The 20,951-nt window shown below is 60.6% G+C and overlaps 1 protein-coding gene and 1 long non-coding RNA gene across 2 annotated transcripts, besides 14 other annotated features; one reads left to right on the top strand and one right to left on the bottom strand.

Annotated features, from left to right (window-relative positions):
- Nucleotides 902-1,141: a silencer, noted in NCBI's record as "silent region_12516". NCBI's record gives its function as "represses an Ori minimal core promoter by ATAC-STARR-seq in GM12878 lymphoblastoid cells {active_cell/tissue: GM12878}" and the evidence as "EXISTENCE:reporter gene assay evidence [ECO:0000049][PMID:35858748]".
- Nucleotides 2,652-2,911: a silencer, noted in NCBI's record as "silent region_12517". NCBI's record gives its function as "represses an Ori minimal core promoter by ATAC-STARR-seq in GM12878 lymphoblastoid cells {active_cell/tissue: GM12878}" and the evidence as "EXISTENCE:reporter gene assay evidence [ECO:0000049][PMID:35858748]".
- On the top strand, nt 2,935-15,823 carry RNPEPL1 (arginyl aminopeptidase like 1). The gene is made up of 11 exons (NM_018226.6): nt 2,935-3,565; nt 6,874-7,014; nt 7,561-7,712; nt 8,226-8,342; nt 8,564-8,799; nt 8,966-9,079; nt 9,481-9,593; nt 9,953-10,061; nt 10,986-11,216; nt 11,299-11,441; nt 12,050-15,823. The coding sequence occupies exons 1-11, from the start codon at nt 3,038-3,040 to the stop codon at nt 12,341-12,343; spliced, it is 2,178 nt and encodes a 725-aa protein (NP_060696.4). The 5' UTR covers nt 2,935-3,037; the 3' UTR covers nt 12,344-15,823.
- Nucleotides 2,942-3,001: a silencer, noted in NCBI's record as "silent region_12518". NCBI's record gives its function as "represses an Ori minimal core promoter by ATAC-STARR-seq in GM12878 lymphoblastoid cells {active_cell/tissue: GM12878}" and the evidence as "EXISTENCE:reporter gene assay evidence [ECO:0000049][PMID:35858748]".
- Nucleotides 3,142-3,331: a silencer, noted in NCBI's record as "silent region_12519". NCBI's record gives its function as "represses an Ori minimal core promoter by ATAC-STARR-seq in GM12878 lymphoblastoid cells {active_cell/tissue: GM12878}" and the evidence as "EXISTENCE:reporter gene assay evidence [ECO:0000049][PMID:35858748]".
- Nucleotides 3,382-4,020: an enhancer, noted in NCBI's record as "H3K27ac-H3K4me1 hESC enhancer chr2:241508348-241508986 (GRCh37/hg19 assembly coordinates)". NCBI's record gives its function as "activates a minimal SCP1, AML or CMV promoter by ChIP-STARR-seq in primed H9 embryonic stem cells {active_cell/tissue: H9 hESC(primed)}" and the evidence as "EXISTENCE:reporter gene assay evidence [ECO:0000049][PMID:30033119]".
- Nucleotides 3,382-4,071: a biological region, named in NCBI's record as "H3K27ac-H3K4me1 hESC enhancer GRCh37_chr2:241508348-241508986".
- Nucleotides 3,572-3,621: a silencer, noted in NCBI's record as "silent region_12520". NCBI's record gives its function as "represses an Ori minimal core promoter by ATAC-STARR-seq in GM12878 lymphoblastoid cells {active_cell/tissue: GM12878}" and the evidence as "EXISTENCE:reporter gene assay evidence [ECO:0000049][PMID:35858748]".
- Nucleotides 3,892-4,071: an enhancer, noted in NCBI's record as "active region_17402". NCBI's record gives its function as "activates an Ori minimal core promoter by ATAC-STARR-seq in GM12878 lymphoblastoid cells {active_cell/tissue: GM12878}" and the evidence as "EXISTENCE:reporter gene assay evidence [ECO:0000049][PMID:35858748]".
- Nucleotides 4,021-4,659: an enhancer, noted in NCBI's record as "H3K4me1 hESC enhancer chr2:241508987-241509625 (GRCh37/hg19 assembly coordinates)". NCBI's record gives its function as "activates a minimal SCP1, AML or CMV promoter by ChIP-STARR-seq in primed H9 embryonic stem cells {active_cell/tissue: H9 hESC(primed)}" and the evidence as "EXISTENCE:reporter gene assay evidence [ECO:0000049][PMID:30033119]".
- Nucleotides 13,663-13,957: an enhancer, noted in NCBI's record as "tiled region #11586; K562 Activating DNase unmatched - State 5:Enh". NCBI's record gives its function as "activates a minimal TATA promoter and a strong SV40 promoter by Sharpr-MPRA in K562 cells {active_cell/tissue: K562}" and the evidence as "EXISTENCE:reporter gene assay evidence [ECO:0000049][PMID:27701403]".
- Nucleotides 14,455-14,574: an enhancer, noted in NCBI's record as "active region_17403". NCBI's record gives its function as "activates an Ori minimal core promoter by ATAC-STARR-seq in GM12878 lymphoblastoid cells {active_cell/tissue: GM12878}" and the evidence as "EXISTENCE:reporter gene assay evidence [ECO:0000049][PMID:35858748]".
- On the bottom strand, nt 17,201-20,767 carry CAPN10-DT (CAPN10 divergent transcript). Its single transcript, NR_103792.1, has one exon. It is a non-coding gene; the product is annotated as a CAPN10 divergent transcript (long non-coding RNA).
- Nucleotides 18,932-19,001: an enhancer, noted in NCBI's record as "active region_17404". NCBI's record gives its function as "activates an Ori minimal core promoter by ATAC-STARR-seq in GM12878 lymphoblastoid cells {active_cell/tissue: GM12878}" and the evidence as "EXISTENCE:reporter gene assay evidence [ECO:0000049][PMID:35858748]".
- Nucleotides 19,372-19,741: an enhancer, noted in NCBI's record as "active region_17405". NCBI's record gives its function as "activates an Ori minimal core promoter by ATAC-STARR-seq in GM12878 lymphoblastoid cells {active_cell/tissue: GM12878}" and the evidence as "EXISTENCE:reporter gene assay evidence [ECO:0000049][PMID:35858748]".
- Nucleotides 20,732-20,911: an enhancer, noted in NCBI's record as "active region_17406". NCBI's record gives its function as "activates an Ori minimal core promoter by ATAC-STARR-seq in GM12878 lymphoblastoid cells {active_cell/tissue: GM12878}" and the evidence as "EXISTENCE:reporter gene assay evidence [ECO:0000049][PMID:35858748]".

Raw genomic sequence — 20,951 nt, forward strand, 5'->3', positions numbered from 1 at the left:
GAGACCCGATTGTGTTCCTAAGCAAAAGCATCCCACCTGGGGACCGAACATCTCTGATGCGGCAGAGCCCAAAGCTGGGGGGATGGGAAGCACGGGTTTTGTCAGCCAAGCGTGGGGGTGGTAGTGAGAAGGGCCTTCTCCCTCCCCACGCCTTGTGTACCTGGGCCTCAAGCATAGGCCACACCTTGTTGGTCGCTGCCCCTCTATGCCGTGTCACCAGCCGGCACCACCCATCGCTGTGGACCGCGGCCCCCATCACAAGCTGGTGCCCAGGGCAGTCCCCATCTCTGTGGAGGGCTTGCCTGCCGCTGGCCTCTCTAGATAAGCTCCTCATGACTCATGCAACCTTTTCATCAACCCGGAAGGAAGCAGCCGCCGGTCGCCACTAGTGGGTGAGGAACAGTGGCTTGGAGAGGAGGGAGGACCTGGGTCTGCGGTTTCCCCCGCGGCTCAGCCCTGCTCACAACACCCTGATGAAAACCTCGGCTGCCCTTGCCTCAGGGCAGGGCACACCCTTTACCTGCTGACCTGGCCCTGGTGACAAGGGGACAAGGGCAGCAGGGCCCCGGCCAGGTTGAAGGACACCTGTGGGTCACATCAGACCTTTTTAGCCCACCAGCTCCATCTGAGAACTGGTAGCTCCCTGGTCCTCTGTCGGGGTTGGGCGCGGCCCTGTCTGAACACTGCTTCTTCCTGGAAGCTTTGCTGCCCTCCCCAGCCTGCTAAAACGCTCCATGCCCACACCCACCTCCTAGTGGGTGAAGCCAGGAACCCCTCCCTCGGGTGCATCAGGGGAAGGCTGGGGTGCAGATGCCGCGCAGCCACTTCACTGCGCTGATCACCAAAAAGCTGGAGTATGAAAACTCCTGTGGGAGAAAGCCAGGGCTGACAGTCGCGACGTCCAGGCTCCTCTGCCAGGGTTAGAGAAGTCAGAGGTGTCTGCCCAGGCCTGCATGCGGCGTAGCCTCCCGCCGCCAGGGGGCGTCAGGCCGGCGGGGGCGGGGCCTCCTCGGGCGGGGCGGGGCGGGGCGGGGCCGGCGCGAGAGGCTCCCGCGGCTCAGTTGCAGACCCCGCCCCCTCGGCTCAGCCGCGCCTCCCGCTCCATGGGGTGCAGTAGGGCAGCTCCTCACATACGTGCGCGGTGGGAGGCGCTCCCTTGGGCCCCCGGGGAGGAGGTGCCACAGCAACTCTGGACTCCTGTGTGCAGAACTGGCCGCGGAGAGGTGCCCAGGGCGAGACCCCAACCTCTGCTCCCTGAGCCCAATGCGGGGCTCTGGGTGGCAAGACCCCAAGCTCCCTGTGGTGACTTGCCCCCCGGACGGCCAGGCCCAGCTAGTGTGGCACCGCGTGTGCAGAACTGAGGTTCTTCCAGCCAGGAACATGGCCCGGTGGGCTCTGGAGAGCCCCGTAGAACTGGGGGTGCCATCGAAAACAGTCTGCCCTTGGCACTGCAGGGCCCCACCGGGCAGGGCGCTGGGGGCAGTGAGGAGGGTCCCATCTCAGCTGTCTTCCCTGTCAGCCTTGGATGCGAGGCTGATCCACACCTCTGAGTGACTGTGTAAGCCTAGGGGTTCCTGGTGAGTTTGGGATGGGTGCCCCAAGATCGTGGCCGTGTCCCTAAAGAGGGCACGTGGGGACCTGAGGTCCTACGGGAAAACTGAAATGATGCCTCAGTGCTCTGTCCCGCAAACGTGAACGCACACTCTCCCTCTCAGCCTTCCTTCCCGCCCCACGGAAGGAGGGTAGACACAGAGGGTTACACAACGAGGAGACTGAGTCCAGACACAGGAAACACTACTCAGGGCTGACGCTGAGTCGAGTGCGGTACCCGAGTCCAGCCCTGCACGGCCACACCTCAATGGAGCAGAAGAGAGAGGTGTCCTGGGTTCCTGGATAGTTCCCCAGCCCCAGAAGCCCCTTGTCCCTAGGAATTTGAATTCTTACTTGATGACAACAGCGACATCATGGTGGCCCCTGTTATTCCACAGCCTCAAAATTTAACCGCTGTGAGCTCACTAGCAGCTTCTGCCAGGCGAGCACCCCTTCCCTCGGGGCTCAGGCTCCTGGACAGGCTCAGCCTTGGGCAGCCTTCGCCAGGTCCACAGAGAATGGCGTTGGGAAGGGTGGACCTGGCGGATGGGGTGGGGACAGGCGGGCCAGACCCTCCTTCGTACCCCAGCACAGGGCTCCCAAATGAGAGGTCCCCAGCACTGCCCAGAGGAACTTCTGCGATTGTGGAAATGATTCCTGCCTGCTTTGTCCATTAGCCACTCCTCCCAGGAAGACACACACACTCACTCACTCCACCTGCCACGAAGGAACTGAACTTCTAACTGTATTTAATTCGCATCTAAATGGCCACACGTGGTTGGTGGCTGCTGTAGTTGACAGCGCTGCGTGAAGGCTCCGGCGCTTCTCGCACCGCAGGGCCCACAGCACAGACCACACCTGTAGACTTGGAGGAGTGGCAGGGGTGCCAGGAGAATCCTGCCCTGCCCGTAGCCCCGGATGAAAGGATGACATTGAGTTCGCGACGCTGCGCTCCTCGGGAACACGAACCACACCTGGAAGCAGCCTGCCCCTGTGGCCCCAAGGTTCCCGGGTCCCTTCAGCGGCTGCCCCAGGGGCCTGGCCGGCAGTGTCTGGGAGGGAGCAGCGATCCCGCCTCCTGGGATCTCCCGGGCGCCGCCCGGGGAGGAAGCGAGGGGCTGGGGGTGCTGCTCACCCGCTCCGCGCGCCTCGGCTCCCAACACAGCGCCCCGGCCCCGCGCCGCGCTCGATTCCCCGGCTCCCCGCGCCCCTGGCTCCTGGCCCTCCCCGCCCGGCGCCCCGGCCCCGCGCCCCGGCCCCGCGCACAGCGCCCCCGGCGGCGGCCGAGCGGAGCCCGAGCGGGGCGGCGCACGGCGCGGGGCCGGGCCGGGCGGCTCCCGGCGCGACTTCCTGTTGTGCCCGCGCCCCGCCGCCGCCGCCGCCCGGCGCCCCTCGCCCGCGGCCCGGCGCGGCCGCCGCCCATGGATTTCACCTAGTGCCGGCGGCCATGGCCGCGCAGTGCTGCTGCCGCCAGGCGCCCGGCGCCGAGGCCGCGCCCGTCCGCCCGCCGCCCGAGCCGCCGCCCGCCCTGGACGTGGCCTCGGCCTCCAGCGCGCAGCTCTTCCGCCTCCGCCACCTGCAGCTGGGCCTGGAGCTGCGGCCCGAGGCGCGCGAGTTGGCCGGCTGCCTGGTGCTCGAGCTGTGCGCGCTGCGGCCCGCGCCCCGCGCGCTCGTGCTCGACGCGCACCCGGCTCTGCGCCTGCACTCAGCCGCCTTCCGTCGCGCCCCCGCCGCCGCCGCCGAGACGCCCTGCGCCTTCGCCTTCTCCGCCCCCGGGCCGGGGCCCGCGCCGCCGCCCCCGCTGCCCGCCTTCCCCGAGGCGCCCGGCTCCGAGCCCGCCTGCTGTCCGCTGGCCTTCAGGGTGGACCCGTTCACCGACTACGGCTCCTCGCTCACCGTCACGCTGCCGCCCGAGCTGCAGGCGCACCAGCCCTTCCAGGTCATCCTGCGGTACACCTCGACCGACGCCCCCGCCGTGAGTCCGGGGCGGGCGCCGGGGCTGCGGGCCGGTCCGCAGGGCGCTGCTAGCGGCCTCTCGCCGCACGGCCAGGCTGAGGGACGCGAATCTGCGCCCTACAGGTGCCCCCCTCCCCCCACCCCGGTGATTCCCAGCTGTTGCCTGTGAGCCCTTAGGACCCTCGGATAGAAGCCGGAGTCCTGCGGGGACACGGGACAGCATGTCACTCCGGGAAGCCTCCCGTTCAGGTGTCTGGTCCCTGCCTGGGGACATGAGCAGCTTCTGTCACCCACCGAGGTGTACATCTGCAGGATCCTGGCACCAAGGGTTGGGCTGGAGTGTCAGCTGCGGAAGGGCCTCCATGTGACCAGTGCGTGCAGATGAGTCCAAGCCAGAGGCAGAGGAAAGGGCCATGGAGATTGTGATGCTCGGTTTGGGGCTTCCTTGGCCAGCACTGGTGGAGTGTTGAGACCAGTGGGCCCCGCGACCCCAACATAGACACACATAGGCTCTGCAGGGCTTGCACACTGGGTACCCACCACTCCAGAGACTCTGCAAGAAAGGCCAGGTGGCTGAGGCTGGCGCTGTGGCTGCAGCACCCCCTCCACCTCCACCAGTGGGGATGTGTACAGGATGGAGCAGGGCCTTTCCTGCCTACAGCATGGGGGTTCATACTGCATCCCTAGGTGGTATGGACGGCACACATGTGACACCCGACATATGCAAGACACACACAGCTGTGGAGGCGCTGGGAAGTCCAGCTGTCACTGGTCACGGCACATAAATGGACAGGGTGGTGGAGAGGTGGTCGAGAGGCTTCAGGCCACAAAGAGCCAAGGTGACATCTGGGCAGGAAGAACCCAGACCAGTGCACCCCTATGGGCTTCCTGTACATTTCCCAGGAGCCCTAAGCAGGACCTGCCACCTCACCTTTTTCCCAGAACCCCTGTGGGTGTGCAGGCCGCTGGCTAGCCGGCCCCGCCCCTGCTGTGGTATTCCAGGGCTCTGACCGGTGGCAAGTATGCCTCCCAGTATGACAGGTGAGAACTGAGGGATGGGCTTCTCCTTGGCCTTGATCCGTGTTTGGAGCCCACGTGTCTGGTCCGCCCAACACTGGCCTGCAGAGTGGCCGGACCAGGGCCCTCAGCAGGCTGCTGTGAACGGGGCCCAGTGAGCAAGGGTGGCCATTGTCTCTTGGCTTCCTATGGCCTACTGGGTGGCCCTTGGGTACTCTGGGCAGGGAGAGTGGCATAGTCCCCCAAGTCTGCGTGGTGTCAGGGTTGGCAGGCTGTGGACAGGGGGCCTAGCGTCACCTGGCCTGTGAGCCGCCCTACTTGCAGAAGGCAGAGTATTCGACTCTAACCTCAGGCATGCACCTTTGTATGTGAGCGCCATGGGGCTGGGGCCACACGTAGAGTCCCCTTCTCTTCCTGCATGTTCCAGGGACTCAGGCCCAAATCCCTAAGCCTGTCCCTGTGCCAGGGAGGATGCAGCGGAAGCTCCCTGGGAGGCCCTGCCAGTGGGCCCCAGGCCCCCAGAGGCTTTTTGGAGGTGCTGCAGATGCTTGGGCCCATTCCCGCACCCCCACCCCACCCCAGCAAGAACAGCGTTCTTCCTGCCCTGCAGCGTCTGGAGCCCTTCAGCCTTGTTCCTTTTCCACCAGCCCATCAGCACCTGTGCCCGGGTGCCCTGACGGGGATTGGTGCCCCATCTGTGGGGCAGGGCCTGTCCTGTCTGGGGGTCTGCCCCAGCCCCTCACTTCAGGGCAAGTGGGGAGCTGTGGGCCCTGCTGGTATCTGGGAAGACACCCAGGCTACTGAGGCTGTGGGGTGGACATGGGGCAGTAGGGAGAGGTGTGAGTGGGCAGAGCCTGAGAAGGGCCTCAGGAGGGTGAGGCAAGGCCACAGGAGAGGAGTAGTTGTGAGGGGGCCGTGCAGGCTGAAGGGTTGGGGAGACTCCTGCAGGGAGGTTCCTTCATACAGATTCCCAGGTCCCAGCCCCCCCCAAGGGGGAGGCTGCGTTTGTGAATGGCTCCCCAGGTGGGCCCTGAACACCCTGGCAGCCCAGGGCTCAGCAGGAATGGGAGACGCCTGTGCTACCTTGCTGCCCAGCAGGGCCAGGGCACCAACAGGAAGTTTGGAAGAGATCTGAGAATGCTGGCAGGGGTCTGGCCGGGACTGCGGGGGAGGCAGCCCTCCTGGTCTGGGATCCTCCAGGCCTCAGCTGTGGATTCCACTTGTCCAGTCTTAGAAGCATGTTGGGGGCACCTTCTACTCATGGTCATGGGAGGGCCTCTGCACGAAGAGCAATTCAGTTTGCCTTGACTATCTCATTCCGGCAGAGGGGAGGGTGGATACGACGTGCAGGGCTGACTTGGGACGAAGGTGATGTGGCTGTGGTTGGAAGAGGGTCCCCCTCCCAGACTCTGAGCTGCCCTCACTGGAGAGGTCAGAATTCCTGGAAGGAAGATGAGACGGGTGCAGCAGGATAGTGGCAGGAGGGCCCCGGGTGTGCAGGCTTCTCAGTGGGGCTGGGGCCTGGCCTCGGCATCTAGGGGTGAGGAAAGCCTCAACAGCTTTGGTGCAGATGAGAGGTTTGCCGGGGGGGTGACCTTAGGTGGGTAGCAGCTGCTGTGAGCGCACCCATTCCACAGCACTCACCGCAGCCCCCGGCCTCCAGGCAGCGGCCCCAGCCATCCTTCCCTTGGCCGCTCCTGTCCCCTGCCAGCAGGGTCCTCTGGCCTGGCCTCCACTCCCTGCTTGCTGTCCCCTGGCTTGGAGCCTGTCTCTTGCAGGGTCCCTCCAGGCGAGGCTGCCTGGGCTCAGGGTGGCTCTGGGCCCGGGCGTGCTGCCTGCTAGTGCGTAGCCATCAGGAGGCTCTGGCTTCCCAGGTTCCACATCCCAGCCTCCTTTTCCTGACCATGACCAAATCAACTGCTGGGAATTTGGACTGAGTGTGTCCCTACTGTGCCTCAGTTTCCCTATGGAAGCTAAGATAATGCAATGATGGGCTATTCCCTTTTTTCGCCTTGGCGTTAGCTGGGAGATGCCCCTATCGGCTACCTGACACAGGGCCTCCTGCCTGGGTTGGGGTCTGGCCCTGATGACACAGTGCAGGCCACACCCTGGGTCACCTGCCCTGGATGTCTCCCTGCCCAGGCAGGCAAGTGAAGGCTAAGGGGTGGCTATTGGCCCTCGAACCCAGCAAGATAATCTGGCCATTGTCCCCTCCCAGAGCCTCCTGCCTTCTCTCAGGCTGCTGCCCAGTGGCTAGGGCCCAGCACCCTAGCTGGGTGGCCGTCTGCTGATGGGCCATCCTGCCCACAGATCTGGTGGCTGGACCCAGAGCTGACCTATGGCTGCGCCAAGCCCTTCGTCTTCACCCAGGGCCACTCCGTGTGCAACCGCTCCTTCTTCCCGTGCTTCGACACACCTGCCGTGAAGTGCACCTACTCTGCCGTCGTCAAGGTCAGGGGCCGCCAGCTGCCGTCACCTTGCTCCCAGGACAGCCCAGTGGCCTGGCCACGCCGCCTCCCCCTTGCTCCTACCTGCCTGGGCTGTGGCCCCAGCTGCCAGCAGGCCACAGTGCTAGCAGGAGCCCACCCTCCCTACTCTATGGGAGGAGCCGCTTTGCAGGGAACGGGGGAAGCCGGGCTGCCTCCAACGGGCCTGAGGGGTCGGGGTCCTGGACCCGGGGTGAGTCCCCAGTGGCACTGCAGGGTCCCCAGACAAGGGGTCTCCCGACAGAGCTGCTGATCCCCAGTGGGGTCTGTGGGTCACCGGGCCCGAACTTGGCAGCACCCTCTGTGCTGGGACGAGGTTTGCAGGCTGGGAGCTAGGGGTTCCGAATGGAGGGTGGCAGTTCTTCGGAGAGAAGTTCTCTGACAGAAACGTTCCCTGATGGGGATGTAGGGTTTCCTGCTACGAATATGGGGCTGCCTGACAGGCTCCCCGGCCGGGGCTATGGGTGTGCTGACGGTGGGGCCACCCGGTCTCAGTCCGGCCTCCTTACAGGCGCCATCGGGGGTGCAGGTGCTGATGAGTGCCACCCGGAGTGCATACATGGAGGAAGAAGGCGTCTTCCACTTCCACATGGAGCACCCCGTGCCCGCCTACCTCGTGGCCCTGGTGGCCGGAGACCTCAAGCCGGCAGACATCGGGCCCAGGTAGGGCCTCCTGCTGGGGCCTTCTGGGGCTGCGCAGGCCTCGGGGAGAGCCCCACCGGGGGTCTGTGGCCTGTGTCCACGGCTGCCCTGCTGAGGACCCCCACTGGCCTCTGGGTGCTCTGGGCCAGCCCTGCCCCTGCCTTGGTGCCACCGCCAGGGCCCTGCCACCCATGTGCCCTCAGACCCGGCAGCCTGGCCCACCCAGTGCCTGCCCTGCAAACTGGTCCTTCCTGCCAAGGCCCCCGCACAGCCTGGCACCCTCATACCTTCGTTGGTCCCTTCAGCCCAGAGATAAAATGAGCTACGTGGCCCCTGGAATGCAGCTCTGCCCTGCTGTGGGAAGGGCCAGGGTGGCTGCCCATCCAGTGAGGCAGGGCGGGCTGTAGGCTGGGGTGGTCAGCCAGGCTGGGTGAGGTGTGGGTGTTACTGGAGCCCCAGGGCAGTGGGAGAGCCTGGTGGGGTGAGCGGGGCTGGGGCTGCTCGGCCTCAGCTCACCCTCTCTGCATGCACCAGGAGCCGCGTGTGGGCCGAGCCATGCCTCCTGCCCACGGCCACCAGCAAGCTGTCGGGCGCAGTGGAGCAGTGGCTGAGTGCAGCTGAGCGGCTGTATGGGCCCTACATGTGGGGCAGGTAGGCCCCGGGGACCTGTGGACCTGGCTGGCTGGAAGGAGGAGTCAGAGGGGGAGCCCCTCGTCTGACCCCTGGGGTGTCCTGTCCCCATCTCCTGGGGAGGAAGCGGAGCTCACCGCAGGGGCTGGGCTGATCCCTGCTGGGTGGAAGGTGGGGTGCGGGTGTGCAGGGTGGGAGTCTGAGCCCCGAGGTCTGCCACCCTCACCGCCCTCCCGGTGCAGGTACGACATTGTCTTCCTGCCACCCTCCTTCCCCATCGTGGCCATGGAGAACCCCTGCCTCACCTTCATCATCTCCTCCATCCTGGAGAGCGATGAGTTCCTGGTCATCGATGTCATCCACGAGGTGGCCCACAGTTGGTTCGGCAACGCTGTCACCAACGCCACGTGGGAAGAGATGTGGCTGAGCGAGGGCCTGGCCACCTATGCCCAGCGCCGTATCACCACCGAGACCTACGGTGCGGCCAGGGCCGGGGAGGGCAGCCACGGGGGGCCCTGGGCACTGGTCCAGGGGCAGAGAGCCTAGCCTGGCCCCCCTGCCATGCTGCAGGTGCCCACACCTCCTGCTTCCCCCGACGACCCCTACACCCCCTCACCTCTCCTCTGTCTCCGGACCCCATCCAGGTGCTGCCTTCACCTGCCTGGAGACTGCCTTCCGCCTGGACGCCCTGCACCGGCAGATGAAGCTTCTGGGAGAGGACAGCCCGGTCAGCAAACTGCAGGTCAAGCTGGAGCCAGGTACCTGCTCCTCAGGACCCGCTCCCACAACTGGGGATGTCACCCCTCAAGGCCTCCTTGCCTGCCCTTCGTGTGTTCTGGCTGTGGCTTCTCTGTCCTGCACTGTGCCTGGACCCCTGCCAAGGCCAAGCTGGGAGCCCCTGGCCAGGGCAAGGCCTCCCCAGGCTCCCACAGCCACCGCCGCTTCCCTGGCTCTGAGCAGCAGTCACAGTGGTGTGTGAGTCCTCAGTCTTCCCCGAGGCCCTGCCGCTGCACGCCCAGGGCATCAGTACACATCTGGACATGTGAGGGACAGTGGCGCTTGGCCCTTGCTGCTCCTCGGAGCCTGACCACTGCCCCTCCCTATTCCACGGGACACTGGTGGTTTCGGACGCCAGCCCAGGTGGGTGTTCACCTTGCAGGAGTGAATCCCAGCCACCTGATGAACCTGTTCACCTACGAGAAGGGCTACTGCTTCGTGTACTACCTGTCCCAGCTCTGCGGAGACCCACAGCGCTTTGATGACTTTCTCCGAGTGAGCAGCCCCCTGCCCGGGACGGCCCTGCTGCCATCTGCCCCCAGCCCCTCCCCGGCTCACAGGGCTGCCTGCTCTTGCGGCAGTTGGGGTGGAACTGGCAGGGGCCTGTGAGCCTGGCTGGGACCTAGTCTGCCTTTCTTTGTGGGGAGTGCCTGGGTTGCCACCTCCCCTTCTGCCACCCTGTTTGCTCCCTTGGCAGGGCCTGCGTGCCAAGTGCTGGCTCCGCAGTGCCCACTAGCTGCCCCTGTGCCCAGCACGTACCTTGGCGCACGCCCTGCAGTGCCCTGCAGGCCTCTGGTGGGGCTGCCTGTGCCCCACCCTTCCAGGCCTGCTGAGGCCCCACCTCTGCCACACAGGCCTATGTGGAGAAGTACAAGTTCACCAGCGTGGTGGCCCAGGACCTGCTGGACTCCTTCCTGAGCTTCTTCCCGGAGCTGAAGGAGCAGAGCGTGGACTGCCGGGCAGGTGAGGCTGACCCCCAACCCTGCAGCCAGGGAGCCGTGGGTATGATGGCAGGCGGGGCCTCTGCTGCCTGAGGGGCCACTCCACCTGGAGGAAAGCCCTGTCAGTTCACTGTCTGTCCTTCAGCCAACCCTTGCTGGACCATGTGGGCCCCAGGCTGGTATGCTATGAGAACAGGGCTGGGGTTGGGGGCCTCCCTGGGGCCGGTGGCACAGGCTAAGCAGGCCGAGTCAGGCACTCCCAGGAAGCGGGCCATGGAAACCAGGTGTGCAAAGGGCCTGGTGCAGGAAGGGCGGGTGACGGGGGTGTCCTGGAGCTGGAGAACAGCAGCCAGCCCTGTTTATGTGTCACTTGTAAAGGTGTCCCTGAGGGTCTGAGGGCTTGGGGCCCAGGAAGGCACTGCAGGGTTCAGACATTGAGGGAGAGGCCAGAATTGCTGGAGGGTGGTGAGGTGCCACTGGGAGGGCTGTGCATGGTGACACCAAGTTTTGGAAGGTACAGCAAGTGCATCAAGAGCTTTTTGTGGGTAGGGAATGGGCACTGCCCTTTAAGAGCAGGAATATCATCTTAAGAGCCTGTTGCCCCCATCCCGCCCCTGCTGGTTCATGGCGCAGGTGGCCTCCACCAGCACTGAGGTTGGGTTTAGACTACTTCATTGTCTTCCACCCAGGAGAGGCGTGGAGTGGGTGCGAGTCCCTTGGTCACCAACCCAAGTCTCTGCTTCCCTGTACCCCTTCACAGAAGCCCCTTCAGTGGCTTCAAGTGGCAGTGCTGGCTGGAGCTGACTCCGCCTTCCTGAACAGCCCACGTCCCTGGAACAGGCCACCTGCCTGGAACACACTCAGGGTCTGGGGTCTCCTGGGCAGATTGCTCAGGCAGCCCCTTCCTAGCCTGGGCAGGGACCCCAGGGTCACTTCTCCCCTCTAGGGCTGGAATTCGAGCGCTGGCTCAATGCCACAGGCCCGCCGCTGGCTGAGCCGGACCTGTCTCAGGGATCCAGCCTGACCCGGCCCGTGGAGGCCCTTTTCCAGCTGTGGACCGCAGAACCTCTGGACCAGGCAGCTGCCTCGGCCAGCGCCATTGACATCTCCAAGTGGAGGACCTTCCAGACAGCACTCTTCCTGGACCGGCTCCTGGATGGGTCCCCGCTGCCGCAGGGTGAGTCCCTGCAGCTGATGGGGGCGGCCCAGGGGCTGGGGTGCAACAGCGGCCCAGCCCTGACCTGCCCCCTGCGCTGCAGAGGTGGTGATGAGCCTGTCCAAGTGCTACTCCTCCCTGCTGGACTCGATGAACGCTGAGATCCGCATCCGCTGGCTGCAGATTGTGGTCCGCAACGACTACTATCCTGACCTCCACAGGGTGCGGCGCTTCCTGGAGAGCCAGGTGCGGTCACCTGCCCAGGGGGCCAGCCTGGAACGGCCTAGCCGTGCGGACTGGGAGTCCCACCCGACTCCCTAGTCTGAGCCCTTGGGGCAGGCCAGGCACATTCTGGAGAATGGGGCGGGGAAGACGTAGGGGTCTGTTGGGAGTGGGGGCATGCACCGGGTGCAGGTACCAGAGGGCAGCCTGGACTCCACCAGTTCTTGGAGAAACTGTGGAAGGGACCAGCTGGGAGCAGGAGTTTAGGGTCCAGGCCACCACAGCCTGCTGGGCCCTGGGCCTTCAGCGTCCTGGTCTGGGCAGAGGGGACGTCCCAGCTCCTCAGAGGGAGGCCAGAGCCCTCAGGCCCGTGGGCCCTGGCTGCCCTGCTCCCTGTATGTGCTCCCTCCAGCCCAGGTTCCCTGGAGATGGGGCCTCCATGGTTGGCCTGGAAGGGCAGGGTGGAGGTGGGAGGCTAATGGTAGGCCTCCTGGCCACCGGAGTCCAGGCCACAGCCCTAATGATGAAGCTGGGAAGCCAGGGGCAGGAGGGCCGCCTGGCCGGGCTGGCAGGGTGGGCTGGCTCGAGGGGCCTGGGGAGCCCACCAGTGTGACCGAGTGCCCCTCCTGCAGATGTCACGCATGTACACCATCCCGCTGTACGAGGACCTCTGCACCGGTGCCCTCAAGTCCTTCGCGCTGGAGGTCTTCTACCAGACGCAGGGCCGGCTGCACCCCAACCTGCGCAGAGCCATCCAGCAGATCCTGTCCCAGGGCCTGGGCTCCAGCACAGAGCCCGCCTCAGAGCCCAGCACGGAGCTGGGCAAGGCTGAAGCAGACACAGACTCGGACGCACAGGCCCTGCTGCTTGGGGACGAGGCCCCCAGCAGTGCCATCTCTCTCAGGGACGTCAATGTGTCTGCCTAGCCCTGTTGGCGGGCTGACCCTCGACCTCCCAGACACCACAATTGTGCCTTCTGTGGGCCAGGCCTGCCATGACTGCGTCTCGGCTCTGGCCATGAGCTCTGCCCAGGCCCACAAGCCCCTCCCCTGGGCTCTCCCAGGCAGGGAGAATGGGGAGAGGGACCTCCTTGTGTCTGGCAGAGACCTGTGGACCTGGCCTCCCCACTCCCAGCTCTCTTGCACTGCAGGCCCTGGGGCCAGCCCGCACACACCATGCCTCCTGTCTCAACACTGACAGCTGTGCCTAGCCCCGGATGCCAGCACCTGCCAGGTGCCGCCCCGGGGCAAGGGCCCCAGCAGCCCTATGGTGACCGCCACACTGTGCCTTAATGTCTGCCGGGGGCCCAGGCTGTGCTGTCCCTGCAGCACGCCTCCTTGCAGGGATCTGAGCCACCCTCCCCGCACAGCCCTGCACCCCGCCCCTGGGGTTGGCAGCCTCAGTTGGCCCCTGGCAGAGGAACAAGGACACAGACATTCCCTCAGTGTGGGGGGCAGGGGACACAGGGAGAGGATGGTTGTCCCTGGGGAGGGCCCTCTGGCCCCAGGCAACCTTAGCCCCTCAGAACAGGGAGTCCCAGGACCCAGGGAGAGTGTGGGGACAGGACAGCCTGTCTCTTGTAGCTTCCTGGGGTGGGAGGCACAGGGGCAAAGCAATACCCCAGGGAAAGTGGGAGGTGGTGCTGGTGCTCTCTCCAGGCCCACCATGCTGGGAGAGGCGGCCAGAGCCTGGGGCCTCCAGCCTGGGACTGCTGTGATGGGGTATCACGGTGATGGTCCCATTAAACTTCCACTCTGCAAACCTGATCTCCTGCGCTCTTTCTCGCGACTCTTGTCCTCTGCATCTTCCTGGCTGTGTAGGGTGGGCTGGCCTGCCGGGACTTGGGGCCTGGAGCTGGTCAGGAGCTGGGTGTGGCCCCCTCCTCTGATACATAAGCCCGAGAGCAGGCTCCCCGAATCCTGCCCAGCCCCTTGGCTGGACCCCCTGGGCCTGAGTAGCCTCTGGATGTCACAGGAAAGCCATGTGTCACCTTCACTCTGGGCCTTCACCTGTGGCTTAAGCCAAATCCCGGCCTCAGTGGTGATCCTTTCCCAAGATGGGTACAAGGTGACAGGCATGTTTTGTTTTGGAGAACTGAGATTTCCATTTTCCCAGGCGATAGGTGTCGCTGCCCTTCACAGTCCCCAAGGATGTGGCGCCACCATCTCAGTGCCACGCACACCTGGCCAACATGCCGTGGCCCAGAAGCAGCACGTCTCTTCTCCCAACCCGCTGGCCAGGCCCAGTCACAGCCCCACTCCACACATGGCAGCCAGGAAGTGGGGAGGGCAGGAGGTGCTGGGCAAATAACCCTGATACCATCACTGTCCAGTCCCCAGTCACCAAATGTCCCACTCACCCTCCTTCCTGTTCTGGATGCCCCGCCCCTCCCCTCCCCTCCCAAGGACATATGAGTCCCCTCCAGTGGCGGTGGCAACTCTGGTCTAGGGTCTGGGGCCGTCTCTACATGTGTTGCTTCATGTACCTTCTTCACATCAGGTCTGGGGGAGGCGCCACCCCATCCAGAGACCTAGGAACTAGAAGACTGCCACTGCCCCTCACACCCAGGGATAGGATGACTGCAGTAACCCCTGTGAAAGCGGGTATGGAGGGCACCTGGCAGCCCCTGCTGCATGGCCATCTAAAGTCTTGCCAGGCAGGCACAGCTAGGGCCCCTGCCTGGGAGTGGACACCCCACTCCCCCAAGTCATGTTCTCTGTGGCCTGGGGCTCCAGCCTTGGGAGGACCCCTTTCCTGTTTCTTAACCATGCTTGATGGTGTCCTCAAAGGAGCCCTGCTCAGTGGCAGAACTGCTTTCTCAGCCTCTTCCCCGCCAAGGTTGTTTTCAAGTCCCAGCAGTCACAGACTTTCATCCTGGGCTCTTCTTTCTTTTGCAATTCAGCTCTCGAAATGACTCTGTGGTCTGCGGGTGACTCCACTCCACGTGCCTACAGCCACGCCCACAGCGCCACCTCCGGACGCTGCTGAGCTGCGCACCTGTGCCTGACACCTGGCTTTGGGAAACTCAGCAGCAGTGCCCAGCGTCATGACCCTGGGGGCAGGAGGGCATCTGGATCCAGGATGGCACCCTCACCACAATCTGTCTTGGCTCTGTGCCCGCCCGTGGGGTACACAGGAGGGCTCTTTCAGCCCTAAGTCCTTGTGTTCCTGACCTTTGTTCCTCTTCCACCCAGCTTGCAAGTGCAGAATTTTTTTTTAGCTCGTCGCTTCCCTGCAGTCCCTTGTCCAATGCAGCCTCCGGCCGATACTCAGGCCAGTGTTGTTTCCCAACCTCTCCACTAGATACGCACACTTAGCTCACGGTCTGCCTCATGAGTCATCCCAGTTGAGCTTTACCAAATGTTTTGCCCCACCTAACAGCCTGCCCACATTCCAAATCCTGGCAGGTCGCACGTTTTATTAGCACAGCACCCCTCTCCTAGCGGCCAGCTTCTCTATTAGGCCACGTTATGCTCCAGCCACACAACTATGAAGCGCAGACGTCTCACACAACAAAGCTTTCTCATGCTGCAGGCCCACCTCAGGCTGGCAGGGGAAGGGGGGATTCTCTTCAATGTGACCACTCTCGGACCCGTACCGATGAACAGAGATCTCAAATGTTTCCAGGCACCTTGCCAGGGATAAGAGAGCTGTTGAGGGGCTCACACTGGCAGTGGAAGTTCTAAGGGGCCTACAACCACAGGGGCTGCAACCCCACCATATGCACAAAAGCGGGGGCAGATGGCAAACAGCACTAATGACAACGACGGAGCTGAGGCCAGAATGTGAGAGAGATCTGCATTTTGGGGATTAGGGCCTAGTCAGGCAGGTAGGAGATGATGTTCAAAAAGGGAAAAGAAGCGTGATGAAAGACTGGTTTCTACAGAGATAGATTAGAAAGCTGAAGCCTGAAAAAACAGTGAAGGAGACCCATGCAAATTTCTAGGCCCTGGAGGTCCAAATAAGGTTTTCTAAGTCCCTCAGGCCATGACAGGTTCAGTCCAGACTTGTCTCCCAGAGTGTTTCTCTGCCATCCCTACTCTAACTGGGACTTATTGGTGGTGTTTCTCTCCTAAGGCCAGATGCTTTGCACAGAACATTAGGAAACTCCAGATGTAAAGGTAAGGCACAACTGAGAATCACCTGCCCAGGGCAGCAACACAGTGTGAAGGAAAACAGGCCACTCAACCCAAACTTACACCTGAGACAGAGGCAACAGAAAAATCAGAAAAGGACTTTAGAACACATATAATCAAAATCTCAGACCTAAAGACGACTTTTGAAATAAACCATAACATATGAAGAGGCACTTATGAAACAAGAACAGGTAGTTTATAAAAAAGAACCAGTCAGAGACCCTGGAAATTTTTTAAAAAGCAATTACTAAAATAAAAAATGAAAACTCAGTCAACAGTGCTCTGGTTTGGATGTTCCCTCCAAAATTCATGTTGAAATTTAATTGCCATTGTGATGGTATTAAGAGGTGGAACCATTAAGAAGCGATTAGGCCATGAGGGTTCTGCCTTGATGAATGCATTAATGTCATTATCAGAGTGGGTTCGTTATCATGAGCATGTGTTGTAAAAATGAATTTAGCTGTCTCTTGCTGTGTGTCCTCTTGCTCTTCCATCTTCCCCCATGGAATGGTGTGGCAAGAAGGCCTTTACCAGATGCCAGCCCCTCGCCCTTGGACTTCCCAGCCTCCAGAACTATAAGAAATACATTTATTTTCATTATAAATTACCCAGTCCGTGGTATTGTTATAGGAACAGAAAATGCACTTGGGGATATTAGGTCGTGGAGAGTAAAAAAAAAAAAAAAATAAGTTCCAGTCAATCAAGGCATCCTCATTCTCAACATTGCCTGCATTCTACCCTCCAGGGGTCCCCTCCATGGCCCTTCATCTGCCCCCACCCCGCAACTCAGCCTCATTTCTTCAGCCATTTTCTCCCCCACATCTCTCTTCCCTTCCCATCAGACCTTCACATCCTGCAAGCTAAGCCACCTCAACTAGCCATGCCCTCAGGGCTCTTACTCAAGCACCCACCAAGATGTTTTTCCTAACAAAGACTGTCCTTTTACTAAGAGGAATCTGATGTCAGCTGTTAGTCTCCGCTCCCCCCCACCCCCCATCTCTCGGAATAATCACCTGGTCAGAGAGAAGCCCAAGAGCACGGACATGCCAGCTAAAGGTGGAGCTTGGCAAGGGTGTCCACAGAGTGGCCAGGCCCAGCACAGATCCGAGGGGCTTTTAACAGGCACAGGCAGAGTGCTAAGGAGATCACTACCACCCACCCACCCATCCAGCCAGGCCCAGATAAACCTCTCCTTGTTCCAAATGAATGAGCAAACAGAAAAATTCCAGTGTGGAGGGAATACAACACCCACAATGCAGAAAATAGCCCACATCCAAAATATGCTCCCCTCAGATAACTAGTCAACTGTGCAAACTATCTGCATAATCCTCACAATAAAGTTGAAGAACACAAAACCACTTCATACAAAGAGTTAGGAAAAAAATTCCTATAAGGAGGAGCATGTACCATATTTATTCCCACTCTGTTTACTAAGCATGTATTATAATGAGAAAAAAAGCTCAATCTAAAATATTGCCAACAAAGAATCCATTCCTCACGTTGCAGTAAATGAAGCGGGCTGAGGTCAGCCTCCTTTTATGCTGGCTGCCCCAACTCTAAGGAGTTGATGCGTCCTACTGTTAACAGCGGAGGATGTCCAGGTTCTTGGCGTCTTAAATAAAGAATTGGACAAAACACACACAGAGAGCAAAGAAGGAATGAAGGGATTTATTGAAAATGAAAGTACACTCCACAGTGTGGGGGTGAGCCTGAGCATAGGAGCACAAAAGCCCTGTTACAGAACTTCAGAGAGTTTAAATACCCTCTAGGTGATTCCATTGGTTACTTGGGGCACACGTTATGTAGATGGAGAGCCTGTTACAGAACTTCTGAGAGTTTAAACACCCTCTAGGTGATTCCATTGGTTACTTGGGGCACACGTTATGCAGATGGAGAGGATGAAGTTACAAAGTCATTTGCTTGGCCTATGTCCTATGGAGAAGGTATTTCCTATCATAACTGAAGTGTGAATCAGCCTATGTTCCCTGCACTCAGACCCTATTTTCCTGCCTCCTACCTACAGCTGTGTGGTCCTGAGCTGTCACCTCTTCCCTTTGAAGCTCAGGTTCCTCATCGGTAAAATGAGGCAGAAATACTCACTGCTGAGATGTGTGGGGATCGCACAAACTCAGTGTCTCAACATGTTGTACGTGTGTTTTGGCCCTCTGAGCCCTTGAGGGCTGCCCCAGGTGGAACCCTCTTCACTTTTCTTGGAGAACTGACCATGGGTTGCAGCAAAGCCTAAAATGGTTCCTGTTTCAGCCCTGCCTGGGAAGATTCAGCTGGAACCTTTAGGCTAGGAAAAGGTTCGAGAAGGACCCTACCCCCACTGTGCCCGACCTGAGACAAATCCACAGAAAAGCAATCCTTGCTAACTCTGGGCAGTATGTGGACAAGATACTAATTTTTAATCTCTGCATCTCCATGAGAATGCAAGGACCAGCACAGTGAAGTGCCCAATGATTGCCCCCTGAACAAACGGAGATGTCAAGTTCAGAAAAAATCCTGGCTGAGGAAGACAGGGAACATTCCCTTGAAAAACAAGGGCAGTCATCCAGACAGAGCAAGAGGAGTGGCAGGATAAGAGGAGGCAGACAGGGTTGATTCCACAGGGCTCCTCCTCAACACCCATGAACCTGAGAAGTGGTCAGATGCGTTTCAGGCCACTGGCCAGCAGTGGGGTCATGGCGGGAACTAGTCCCACCTGAAGGACTCTCATCTCCCTACAATCCCCAAACGCTGAGGCATGGGGATGCTCTTCCCTCCTTGAAGTGAGGGCCCCGAGGCTCTCATACTTTAATTACAGTACTTCAGACCAAGAGCCTGCAGTTGAGGAGGCCAGGGTCATGAATCAGCTGCCCCCCAAACTCCTTATCTCACCAACCCAAGCTGCTTACAACCCCTCCAGATATCCCAGGAGCCGGGGGGAATGTCATTCTTCAGGGCTGAGGGAACATCTTTGCACCCTGGGGTAGCAGATGGGACCACAGGGCATGTGGAATGTCTTAGTCTGTTTCACACTGCTATACCTGAGGTTGGGTTTGTTTTATTTATTTATTTATTTATTTAGAGACGGAGTCTCGCTCTGTCGCCCAGGCTGGAGTGCAGTGGTGCGATCTGGGCTCACTGCAAGCTCCGCCTCCCGGGTTCACACCATTCTCCTGCCTCAATCAGCCTCCCGAGTGAGGGGCTGGGACTACAGGTGCCCGCCACCACACCTGGCTAATTTTTTTGTTTCTTTTTTTTTTTCAGTAGAGATGGGGTTTCACCGTGTTAGCCAAGATGGTCTCGATCTGACCTCGTGATCCGCCCGCCTCGGCCTCCCAAAGTGCTGGGATTACAGGCGTGAGCCACTGCGCCCAGCCAAGGTGGGGGAATTTATTTTTTTAAAAAAGCAAAACAGGTTTATTTGGCTCAAAATTCTGGTGGAAATTTCAAGATTGGGCAGCTGCACCTGGTGAGGGCCTCATGCTACTTCAACTCAAGGCAGCAAGTAGAAGGGGAGAGGCATGCACAAAGAGATTACGTGGCCATATGGCGAGAGAGGAAGCAAGAGACAACCGCAGGAAGGCTGACTCTCTAACCAGCTCTCATGGGAACTCACCCCTCCACAAAGGACACTAACCTATCCATGAGGGATCCACCCCTATTACCCAAACTCCTCCTACTAGGCACCACCTCCTAACACTGCCTCATTGAGGCTCAAATTTCAATACCATTTTGGGCAGGGGCAGACCACATGCAAATCACAGCATGGGGTAATAGTGGGGGCAGGTTGACACAGGGCTGCTGCCTACCCAGCACCAGCTGTCTCTTGGCCCCTTCCAGATCCTGGCAATCTGGCTACAGGCATGGGCCCAGCCTTGGACACAGATGTGGCCACAGGAAGCTGTTAGCTCTCCAGATCTGATCAGCCTGGGAGAGCGGCACAACAAAGGCTCCCAAAGGAGAGTCGGGATCCTCAGCTAGCCTCAGCTCTGCTACCCACCCATATGTGCCCAGAACAGGAAAGATACGTGTTTCTTACTCCTCCGGGACTCCTAGGTGAAGCTGAGACCAGGCTCTTCTTGAGTCCTCTCAGCTATGGTGCAACCACCAGCCTAGCAAGGAATCAGAAACATCTTCCGGAAGAGTCAGCACCATAGAGGGTGCTGAATGGGCAATGAAGCATCCCGGAGATGAAACATCTGGGCAGTGAGGCATCCCACAGGTGTTGGGCTATGCAGTCACTCCCTTTCTCAGACCGAGGCAAGTACATAAGCACTCTGGGCCCCTAATCAGGGGCCTGGGGCCAGGTGGGATGAAAACAGCAGTGTCCTGCCACCTGAACAACTGCTACTCACGCAGGCCCCACCTGGCCTCTCAGAGGGAGGAACCTGGGACTCCTGAACCAGATTCAGTTTCTCCTTCAACAGCCGGGACTTTTCGCTCCTGACTGCAGAAAAACAGCTTCAATGTGACCATCCTTGATAGTCCGAGGCTGAGTAAAATGGCCTGAGGAGGCAAAATCTGAAAAGCTCTATTAGGTGGCAAACTGCTGTCACTAGAAGAGTTGAGGCCCCCTTCTCCTCCCCTGCCTGACCGCCTTCATTCCTGGGAATGGAACAGGTTCTTGGGGCAAGGGTGAATCCTCGAGCAGGTCCCAGGATCACTATCCTCACCTCCCCGCGGCACTGAATGGCTATAGCTGTAAATGTGCGTCCACGGGGTCACTGTCCAGCCACCAGGACCAGGTGCCTGGCCATCTGGGGAATCGGAAAACGCTCAGCGGGATGCTCTGGCCACCTCCCCTGCCCCCAGTTAAGATGTAGAGCGTTCAACCTAAAATGCCTAGAAACAAAGCCCAGGCCCGGGAAGGTCGAACGAGTGCGACGCCGCTCCCTCAAGCTCTTCCCTCGGAGCCGTCTCATTTCCCAAAACTCCCAAACACATCACAGAGAGAGGTGTTGAGCCAGGTGGTCACTCCCTTTTCCAGAACCACAGCAAGAAGTTGAGCCTGCTGGGCTCCTAACGAAGGCCCTGGGGCCCGGTGGGATGAAAAGCCCTATTAGGTAGCAAACAGCTGTCACTAGAGGGGTTGAGGCCCCCTTCTCCCCTGCCTGACGACGACGGCGGCAGGAACTCGACCGGCGCCGGACAGCTCGCAACTTGCCTTACCAAGCGTAAATCTCGGTTCCTCCCAACTACCCGCGGCCACGGCCTCCGCAGCAGAGCGCCGGAAGCAGAGACGCGTTTCGGGAGGAAGGTGCATGCTGGGAGCGGCGGCGCATGCTGGGAGCTGTAGTCTGCGACGCAACTCGGCCGAGGTGGCTCCCTGGTCCCTGAAGCTCCCAGAGCCCGCGTGTTCAGGCGGTCCCGACACCCCGGCCCGAGCCTCACCGGCTGGAGGACTGAACGC

Source organism: Homo sapiens, chromosome 2 (genome assembly GCF_000001405.40).
Source record: "Homo sapiens chromosome 2, GRCh38.p14 Primary Assembly".
NCBI classification, from domain to species: Eukaryota; Metazoa; Chordata; class Mammalia; order Primates; family Hominidae; genus Homo; species Homo sapiens.

Coding starts and splice junctions, on each gene's coding strand:
- RNPEPL1 (NM_018226.6), top strand. CDS start 3,038: ATGGCCGCGCAGTGCTGCTGCCGCCAGGCGCCCGGCGCCGAGGCCGCG. Junction 3,566..6,873: donor CCTCGACCGACGCCCCCGCC/GTGAGTCCGGGG, acceptor TCCTGCCCACAG/ATCTGGTGGCTGGACCCAGA. Junction 7,015..7,560: donor CCTACTCTGCCGTCGTCAAG/GTCAGGGGCCGC, acceptor GCCTCCTTACAG/GCGCCATCGGGGGTGCAGGT.